The 10,994-nt window shown below is 43.9% G+C and overlaps 1 pseudogene, besides 1 other annotated feature; it reads left to right on the forward strand.

Annotated features, from left to right (window-relative positions):
• On the forward strand, positions 568-1,349 carry RPS3AP50 (RPS3A pseudogene 50; annotated as a pseudogene).
• Positions 9,484-10,683: an enhancer, noted in NCBI's record as "BRD4-independent group 4 enhancer chr19:33841025-33842224 (GRCh37/hg19 assembly coordinates)". NCBI's record gives its function as "activates an origin of replication core promoter dependent on BRD2, P300/CBP, MED14 and CDK7 cofactors, and independent of BRD4, by STARR-seq in HCT116 cells {active_cell/tissue: HCT116}" and the evidence as "EXISTENCE:reporter gene assay evidence [ECO:0000049][PMID:35650434]".

Here is a 10,994-nt window from a genome sequence, read left to right on the forward strand (position 1 = left end):
AGATACGATAATTCTAAACTTGTCTGACTTTTGGCTCTCTGAGCAGCGCCATGGTGGTTGGCAAGAACAAGCGTCTTTTGAAAGGCAGCAAAAAGGAAGCCAAGAAGAAATTGGCTCATCCACTTTCTAAGAAAGATTGGTGGGCTGGGTGTGGTGGCTCATACCTGTAATCCAAGCACTTTGGGTGGCCAAGGCAGGAGGATAGTCTAAGGCAAGGAGTTCGAGACCAGCCTGGGCAACAAAGTGAGACCCCGTCTTTTCAAAAAATAAGTAAATACATACATAAACAAACAGACAAACAAGCAGACAAATAAATAGCAGGGTGTGGTGGTGCATGCCTGTGGTCCCAGCTACTTGGGAGACTGAGGTGGGAGGACCTCTCAAGCCCAGAAGGTCAAGGCTGCAGTGAGCTATGATCACAACGTTGCACTCCAGTCTGAGTGATACAGGGAGACTCTGAGAAAAGGAAGGAAGGCAAGAAGGAAGGCAGGAAGGCAGGAAGGAAGGAAAGAAGGAGGGGAGGGAGAGAGGGAGGGAAAGGAAAGGAAAAGGAAGGAAGGAAGAGAGAAAGGAAAGAAGGAAGGAAGGAGAAAGAAAGAAGAAAGAAAGAAAAAGAAAGAGAGAAAGAAAGATTGGTATGATGTGGAAGTGTGAAAGCTCCTGTTATATTCAATATAAGAAATATTTGACAGACACTAGTCACCAGAACTCAAGGAACCAAAATTGCATCAGTTGGCCTTAAGCGTCATGTGTTTGAAGCGAGCCCTGTTGATCTGCAGAATGATGAAGTTGCACTTAGAAAATTGAAGCTGATTACTGAAGATGTTGAGGGCAAAAACTGCCTGCCTAACTTCCATGGCATGGATCTTACCTGTGACAAGATGTGTTCAATGGCCAAAAAGTGGCAGACCATGATTGAAGCTTATGTTGATGTCAAGACTATCAGTGATTATTTGCTTTGTCTGTTTTGTGTGGTTTTACTTAAAAAATGCAACAATCAGATACGGAAGCCCTCTTATACTCAGTACCAACAGGTTTGCCAAGTCTGGAAGAAGATGATGGAAATCATGACCCAAGAGGTGCAGACGAGTGGCTTGAAAGAAGTGGTCAATAAATGGATTCCGGATGGTGTTAGAAAAAGACATAGGAAAGACTTGCCAATCTGTGTATATTCCTTGTGATGTCTTCATCAGTAAAGTAAAAATGCGGAAAAGCCCAAGTTTGAATTGGGAAAACACATGGAGCTTCATGGGGAAGGCAGGAATTCTGGAAAAGCTACTGGGGATGAGGCCGGTGCTAAAGTTGAATGAGCTGATGGATAGGAACCACCGGTCCAATAATCTGTTTAAAATTCAGACTTTTTTTTTTTTTTTGAGACAGGGTCTCACTCTCTCACTCTGCTGCTCAGGCTGGAGTGCAGTGGCCCAATCATAGCTCACTGCAGCCTCAAACTCCTGGGCTCCTCCTTCCTCAGCCTCCCAAGTAGCTGGGACTACAGGTGTGTACAACCATGCCTGGCTAATTTTGTGTGTGTGTGTGTGTGTGTGTGTGTGTGTGTGTGTGTGTGTTTTGTTTTTTGCTGGCTTTTTTTTTTTTTTAGAATTTTTACATCTATATTCATGGGAGAGATGGGCTAATAATTTTCTCTTCTTACGATATCCTTCTTAGTTTGGGGATAAAGGTCATTCTGTCCTCATACAAGTTGAAAGGTGCTCCCTCTTTTAGTGGTCCCTGGAACAGCAAATATTTATCCTCCTGGAATATTGGATAGAATCCATCAGTGAAGCCACCTGGACTTGAGTTTTCTTCGTGGGAAGGTGTTAAATCATAAATTCAATTTACTCAATTGAGTAAATTGAGTAATGAGATCATTCAGATTTTTCTACTTTGGTAGGTTGTGTTTTTTTTCTAAGTTTCATCCGAATTTTCAAATTCATTGGCATAAGAGAGTCATTGTTTATCATATCCTCTTCTTTTTAATGTTTGTAAGATCTGCGGGCATAACAAAGTACCACAGATTGGGTGGCTTAAACAATGGAAATGTATTTCTTCACAGTCCTGGAGGCTGGAAGTCCATCAGGGTGTCAGCAGGGTTGGTCTCTTCTGACGGCCTCTCTCCTTGGCTTGAAGATGGCCATCTTCTTCCAATGTCTTCACAGAGTCATCCCTCTGTGTGTGTCTGTGTCCTGATCTCTTCTTATATGGACACTAGTCATATTGGATTAGGGTCCACCCTGATAACCTCATTTAATCTTAATTATCTTTTTAAAGGCCCTATTTCCACATATAGTCACATTCTAAGGTAGTAGAGGTTAGGGCTTCAGGATATGAATTTGGGGGGCCACAATTCAGCCCAGAACATGGGGTGACTGAATGTCTCATATGCTTTGAGTGTAAGTTGATAGAACCACTTTGGGAAATGATTGGACAACACGAAAGCTGAACAGACACACATTCTGTAACCCACGGATTCAATTCCTAGGTGTATACGCAACACAAATGCACATGTGCACATCAGAAGACGTAGGACAATGTTCATGGAGGTGTTCATAATAGCCCCAAACTGGAAACTAACCACTTCTCCAATGGATAAATCTTGGAATATTCACACAGTAGAATTTTATGGAGTAGCAAAAATGAGTTATCTTTTGCTACTGCCAACATAGGTGAATCTCATGAACATAATGTGGAATGACAAGAGCCAGATATGAAAGAGGACCATCTGCACATTCCATGGAATTGCATTTATATCAAGTTTTCTATCAAACAGGCAAAACTACTTCATGGTGTTTGAGGGGGAGGGAGGGTGGAGACTGGGATAAGAATCACAAGGGGACTTCTGTTCCTTGATCTGCGTGCTAGTCTTGTGAAATTTCAGAGCTGTGCCCTTATTAGTTCCTTGAAAGAAAAGTAAAGCAAGGCCGGGTGCAGTGGCTCATGCCTATAATCCCAGCACTTTGGGAGGCTGAGGTGGGAGGATTGCTTGAGCCAGGAGTTCAAGATGAGCCTGGGCAATATAGTGAGACCCCTGTCTCTATAAAAAAAATGAAAAAAAAAATAGCCAGGCACAGTGGTGCACACCTGTAGTCTCAGCTACTCCGGAGGCTGAGGCAGGAGGATCACTTGAGCCCAGGAGTTTGAGGCTGCAGTGAGCTATGATCATGCCCCTGTAGTCCACACTGGGCTATAGAGCAAAATCCTGTCTCAAAAAAAGAGAAGGAAAGAAAGAAAAAGAAAAAGAAAGCACCTCAAACAAGCCTGATACTGATTTGCAACTCATTAAACAACAAACACTTTTGTCAGTACAATGCAAGTATCCATCTTCTTAGGTCCTTGCCAGGCAGGTGGCCAAGAGGTCAAATCAGCGTGATTCTCTCCTTGCTGCTGACAGCGTTTCTAATTCAGCTGCTCATCAACAGTTCTGAAAATTTCCCCTAAGGGACTACATTTTCCATGGTCAGAGAAACATTAAATTGACTATTTTTAGAAAAAGGAGCTTTGATAAGAGACTACTTTTCATTATGGAATTGAGAAGAAAGAATTAGGACAGAAAACCTGGGTAAACGAGACAGAAATAGACCCAACAAACGTACCCAGATGTGGTCTTGATCCCTTAGGAATCCAAAACTAATTTATACCACGGATTCTTCTTAAGGATATGGTTCTCTTATTCCCAGCTGATTTTTAGGAGAATTTCGGTATGAGGTGTCCCCAGAGCTGGCCGAGTCTACAGTTGCCATTCCCAAGCCCCTCCCTTCTCCTCTCTCTTCCCGGATACCATGGAAACCCATAATCAAAGGCAACGCCAACAACTCCTCTTCCTTCTCCCACGGGGCAGAGCTGAGCGCTCAGAGATGCAGCTTTGGATGAAAAATGAGAAAAAAAAAAAAGAAAGAAAAGAAACTGAGCTCGCTGGAGATTCACCCTTGCAACTCTTAACAAGATTTGGCATCTGTGTACCTCATGTGATTCTGGGAGAATTCTGTATCAAAAACAGTTTTGTGTGTGTATGTGTGTGTGTGTGTGTGTGTGTGTTTTAATGACAATCTTGACTTGATGAATATCCCAGTAATCGAAGGTGAGGTTTTCCTCATATGCCGGTGCCTCTTTTTCCCTTCCCTCTAAGGAGAGCAAACTCCTGGCAGATCTCATGTGAGTTTTTGGAAATAAGTGTGGCTGTTACTAAATCCATGCACAGGAGAACACATTCTACTCTCGGGTGGATCCCACTGGCTCTTGTTTGCACGTGTTTTGGATGGAGAGGCCCCTTTTAAAAGATAATTCACTAAGCATGTCATTTCGGTGAGTTTTACTTAAATTTCAGTTACAGTAAAATTCTCCCCGCAGGAACACATCTCTTGTCAAGAGAAAGGAACTTAACATTTTCCTTTGTAGGAGTCTAGCTGCCTCTGTGAGCACAAATCCTATATATATAATCCTTGAAGAGAAGGTGGAGAGGAGGGGAGGAGACATTTCCCAAGGGAGTGGCTGTGATTATACCTACGATAGCAGGTGGTAGGAGAAAAAGTGAATTTGGCAGTTTTCAGAGTAATACGACATCTCTAGAAAGCCATTCTAGATAGTCCAATCTCATGGCCCATTTTGGGGGCTTTGATCCTATTGATGGGACTGTGTAAGTCTTTGGTTCCACATGGCCTTCTCACTGTGGCCTCGGCTGTGCTATTTAAAATGTACTTTATCCCACGCCTGTTCCTCTTTAGCCTCCTCCGCTTTCCACCCCCACGATACTTACCACCTTTTAATACAGCATGCACTGCTAGTGGGAGTGTAAATTAGTCAGAAATAATAGAAAACAGCATGGAGGTTCCTCAACAAATTAAAAATAGCACTACCATAAGATCCAACAATCCCACCAGAGGGTACAGATCCAAAGGAAATGAAATCGGCATGTCAAAGAGATTTCTGTACTCTTATGTTTATTACAGCATTATTCACAATGGCCGAGATATGGAATCAACCTAAGTGTCCATCAATGGATGGATGAAGAAAATGTGGTATATATACACAGTGGAATACTATTCAGCCTTAAAAAAGAATGAAATCTTGTCATTTGCAGCAACATGGATGAACTTTGAGGACCTTATGTTAAATGAAATAAGCCAGGCACAGAAAGACAAAGTCTATGTGACCTTACTCATATGTGGAGCCTAAAAAAGTTGATGTGGCTGGGCACTCTGGCTCATGCCTGTAATCCCAGCATTTTGGGAGGCCAAGGCAGGCATATCACCTGAGCACAGGAGTTTGAGACCAGCCGGGACAACATGGTGAAACCCGTATCTACAAAAAAATACAAAAATTAGCCAGCTGCAGTGGAGTGCGCCCGTAGTCCCAGCTGCTCAGGAGGCTGAGGCAGGAGAATTGCTTCAATCTGGGAGGTGGAGGTTGCAGTGAGCTGAGATCACACCACTGCACTCCAGCCTGGGCGACAGAGCTAGACTCTGTCTCAAAAAAAAAGCTGATCTCATAGAAGTAGAGAGTAGAATAGTGATTATCAGAGAAGCAGGGGGCAGGGGGTGGGGGAGATAGGAAGAGACTGATACGAAGTTACAGTTAGATAGGAGGAATAAGTTCTCCTATCTATTGGTGATCCATTGCACAGTAGGATGATTATGTTTGTTTAGCAACATTGTATTGCATATTTCCAAATAGCTAGAAAAGAGAATTTTGAATGCTGTCACCACAAAGAAATGATAAATATATGAGGTGACAAATATGCTAAATATCCTAATTTGATTATTGTACGATGCATACATGTACTGAAATATCACACTGTTCCTCGTACATATGTGCAATTATTATATGTTAATTAACGCAAAAAAAATAACACGGTGTCCAGCTTACCTCTGTTTTCTATTGTTTGTGGTCTGTTTCCCCTGCTAGAATGGGACCCCAGGAAGGCAGGGAGTTTCCTCTCTTTTATCCCCTGGTTCATACTAAATGCTTAGGACTGTGCCTTGCATACAGTGAGCACTCAATAGATACTTGTTGGCAGTTTAAAAAGTCAGTACCTTAATTAACCAAGTATCAAGGCTTTTAATCTTTTTGCCTCAAATCAAACTAAAAACCTTGATTAAAAAGTCTTACCCTGTCTCTACAAAATAATTTTTAAAAAATTAGCTGGGCATGGTGGCACCTGCCTGTAATACCAGTTACTCAGGAGGCTGAGGTGGGAGGATCTCTGAGACCCAGAAGAGCTGTGATTGCACAACTGCTCTCCAGCAGCCTGGGCAACAGAGCAAGACCCCACCTCTAAAGAAAAAACAAAGTCTTTGCTGTTATCCAAAAGGATAAAACAGATTTTCCAGACAGAGGGTCAAGTTGTGCTATCTTTTTCCATAATATCATTTAAAACAAATTATTAAGAAATAAGTTTTCTAATATGAAATTATACAAATCCTGGACATTAAAAAATTATGTCTGCAATATTTACATAGCCTATGATATAAAGCAAATTTGGGGTTAATCAGTTTCTCTAAAGAACTTAAAGACACATTTGTCTTTAATCATGGCATGAAGTGTCTGATAGAGGAAGATCATACGAAAAAGTCCACATCTGATTATAATTATTAAACTGTGTATTAAACGCTTGGTATGTGCCAGGCATTTTTGCCTAAATTATCTCCAATTTTGCCAACAACACTTCAAGGTAAATATTACCATCCTCAGATGAAAAAGTTGGGACCCAGAAAGAAGAAACTGGCCAAGGTCACATGGATCTCAGATGAGGACGTGGGTTCGCTCCACTCCCGGATTTCTCCCCAAACAGCGTTCTGGGTTTTTCAGAGCACAGTGCAATGCAATTTCACATGTGTCATTGGTTTCATATTCGCAGTCAACACACATGTTTTGAGTAATTGTTATGTTCCTGGCACCGTGCAGCCTTTCTTGGAGATCACTGTAGGAAGCTTGGCATCTCGCTGGGAGGTACTCGGGAACCCTGGGCACATTTCGGGATGTGACAGCTGAGTGAGAGCCATTGTAGATGCCTGGGGAGTTCGGAAGAGGGAGGGATCCTCATGGGCTGGGCTCTTGAAGCCTAATCATGGTGTCCCTTGGCCTTCCCAGCCAGGCAGGGGCCATTGTTGGGTCTGGCTGCCTGGCTGCTGCATCCCCTTGCAGGGGCACCTCAGTCCTCAGGAGCAGTGACCTGTCCCGTACCATGTGGTCTTGGCAGAGAGGTAACTTCAGATCCATGTCTCCCACTGTCCCCCGCTGCCCCCCTGGCCTCTGTGGAAGCTGGAGAGGCCAATCCTCCTTCTCTGGGATGCTGGGGACCGGGGCCTGTGACCCATACTCAGACAATTTCAGGTCCAGTCCACTGCCCAGACCTTGGATCTTAAAGATGGTGGAGCATCTGCTCACAAGGATGGCGGGGCATCCATAGGCAGTGATGGCCATGGCGGGAAGAGGCCATAACGGAAGATATCTGGCTGTATCTCCAACTGGCTGTTCCTAAGATGAGGCGGTGACCAAGTTCCCTGAGAACAGGATTGTCTTCCAGCTCCCACCAAATGTGTGAGCCTACAATAGCTTCCCAATCAACTCCTTTTGAATTAATACAATCTTAAACCTGTTGTCCAGCCTATACTGGAAAAGTAAGCTTTTTCCTTTACCCTTTATCCGAAATTCAACATGGATGGATATAGGTCATGAAAAGACGTTCTGCGGACAATCACAGAATCAGAAGGTGAAATCTGCTTTTAAGGAGTTTTTCTTTACCTACTCTGATGCTTTCTCCACAGGCTGATGAAGGCTGCCTGATTCTTACTTAACAAAGCTGGGAAATTTCATCAGCCTGGGCAATATAGTGAGGCCCTGTCTCTACGAAAAGAAAATAAATACAACTTTAAAAATTAGTCAGGCATGAGGTGAGAGGATCGGTGAAACCCAGGAGTTCAAGGTTACAGTGAGCTACCATTGCACCACTGCACTCCAGCCTGGCCGACAGAGCAAGACCCTGTCTCCAAAAATAGTTATCATAATAAAACGCTAGGAGGTTTCAGTGTTTTCTTCATTCTTCCGAAGCTAGGGAATCACACACCAGGACAAGAGAGAGAGCCCATCAATTTGCCATGGGAGAGCTCAGGCTTTCCGGGTTGGGCTGGGGTTCTGGCTGAGGCATCAGGAGCTGGGCATCAAGGCCCTGGGCTCCCTGCTGGGTTTGATCTGTGGACTGATGCAGGGAGAGGCTTTCCTGTATTTTGGCCCAGAGCACATGATCTTATCTGCAAAACCGCAGCACTGTGCCTGGTGCTGAAACCATGAGAGAATTAAGCCTCGATGACCCAGTTACTGGACAATGCTGTCCAGCTCCAGGACTGCTCGTTGCTTCCACAGTATGATGTGTTAATTCGCTGACTGTATTTTCAGAGTCCATCCACTGCCCTAAACTCTCTGCACCCACAGTTCCAATGGGGAGCAGTAACTTCAGTTCATCAAAGCCAATTATTCCAGTTCTTCTTTTTCAGCTTGGATTTTTCCATTTCAAGTCGTCATGGGAAAGTAAGTCTTAATAAATCCCTTTATGCACGGAGAACTAGGGCAATTACTGACATTTTAAGAATTATTGAAACTTTTTTAAAGTTTTTTGATTAAAGTTCTAAAGGACATAAATAATCCTTTTTTGGTTTTTGGAAGGGCTTCAATTATTTTCAAGGACAGAAGTTGGGCACACGGGCTGTTCAAATCTAATTAATTATCTGGCTGCGCCCACAAAAGTCACACCTTCAAAACACTGAGGTTACAGCTAATCATCTGAGATTCTCCCACACTGGGATAACTGTACCCACCCTCTGGGGCCATGACAGATACAAGTACAGGATGCGTTATAGGAACTCAAGGTGCACCTCTGCAGGGAAATCAAGTTTTGTTTGTTTGTGACTCAACGATTTAGTCGTGCATTAAATATTCAATATCTGATGCAAGAGATTTAAAATCCTGAGGTGGTACCTTGAAGCAAAAAACACACAGGCTGGGTTAACCAATCACATTAATATTTTTATACCATAAATTAGATTAGAAATCCCACAGCTGGGAAAAGCCAGGGTGGAAAGATCCCAGGGAATGATGTGGCTCCGAAAAATCAGTGGTGAGCAAACTTCATGAGGCTGGATAGGGGTCTGTTTTGGTTTAGGATCAATAGGAAACTGAAGGCAGGTAACCTTTGACCATTGGAGAGACATACCCATGCCAACCAGAGTTCACTGGAGTTGATTTACTGCACTACGGTATGCTCTAAAAATAAGCACATAGTTTGACTGAAACTTGCATTTGAGTTAAAAAAAAAAAACAAACTATTGTTTTTAGTTTACCATGCATTGGTAAATTTCGAAAGAGGATAAGAGCTGGGCAGGAGGATCACTTGTGGGTGGGAGTTCGAGACCAGCCTGGGCAACATAGCAAGACCCTATCTTCAAAAAATTAAAATAACTTCGTTGGGCGTAATGGTGTATGCTTGTAGTCCCAACACTTTGGAAGGTTGAGGTGGGGAGATCCTTGAGACTTGGAGTTCAAGACTAGCCTGGGCAACACAGCAAGATCCTGTGTCTACAAAAATTTTTTTAAAAACTTAGCCAGACATGATGATTTGCACCTGTAGTCTCAGCTACTTGGGAAGCGGAGGTGGGAAGATCACTTGAGCCCAGGAGTTTGAGGCTGCAGTGAGCCGTGATCGTGGCACTGCACTCCAGCTGGGCAATAGATCAAGACCTAGACTCTAAATACATAAATAAAAATAGGATAAGAGAAAAAATACTTGACTTTGAAACCTCTATTGGAAAAGCTGCAGAGGTCATCTGTAATAAGGCAAAGGAGAGAATGGAGCAGCCACACCTCCGTCATTGCTGAAAGCCAAATTCTTTCTATTGACTCCAGAAGAAGACATATTACGCCAGTTTTTTAAAGCTGCCATATGTCTTATCAGAGTCACAGTTGAGTAGTGGTATGTAGGTCTACGGTACAAATACAAAAATAAGTGTTTGAGCAGGTCACAACATGCCCACACACCGTCAACTGCATCTTTTCTTTGGCAGAGGAGTCTGGAATTCACGGCTCCAAGGAAACAACTGTTTGTCAATCCAAACCTTGGATGCCGATACTGGTGGGCGGCTCAGTGATGACGTTCCTGTGTGACTCAAGTGGTTTCTAAAAGGCAAGAAGCCATCCCCGTGAGGCATACGGTGACCAGTGCTGAATCTTCCAACACCATTTCCCACAGGGATCAGTTGCAGTCAAGAGAATCTGTTTTTTTCAGAGGAGGATGCCCTGTGTGAGGGAAGAGAGGGGTGAGCAGCTGAAGGAAGGTGAATGGACAGAAAAGCTGGACACACTGGCCAGACTGGGGAGGGGGGTGGGGGCTCATGCCTGTAATCCCAGCACTTTGGGAGGCCCGGGGGACAGATCGCTTGAGCCCAGGAGTCCAAGGCCAGCCTGGGCAACATAGTGAGACCCTGTCTCTACAAAAAAAATACAAAAAGTAGTTGGGTGTGGTGGTGCACACCTGTAGTCACAGCTACTCAGGAGGCTGAGAGGTGGGAGGATCACTTGAGCCCAGGATGTCAAGGCTGCAATGAGCTGAGATCACGCCACTGCATTCCAGCCTGGGCAGCAAAGGGAGACCTGGACTTAAAAAAAAAAGAAAAAGAAAAAGAAAAAGTTGGACACGGCAGGCCAAAAGACTGAGTTCTACTTGATCATTGTTGTTGAATCTGGGAGAAGTGGTATTTGGACCCGAATGCCTGAGAGCAAGTATAATACTGCCAACAGGGGCTATGACTTGGCTACAAATGGCTTTAAACTGAAGTTGCCAGTGTGTGCCCCCTACTCTGTGTGTGCCCCCTACTCTGAAACCTCTGGCAGCACCTCATCTTTCTGAGGATGGGCAGGGAGCAGGGCCGCCGCTAACTCCGTATCTCAGTTGCCCAACTTGTTCCGAAAGGCCCTCGACTTTTCGCCTTCACCTTTTCAGTGATCAG

Source organism: Homo sapiens, chromosome 19, assembly GCF_000001405.40.
Source record: "Homo sapiens chromosome 19, GRCh38.p14 Primary Assembly".
Lineage (NCBI taxonomy): Eukaryota > Metazoa > Chordata > Mammalia > Primates > Hominidae > Homo > Homo sapiens.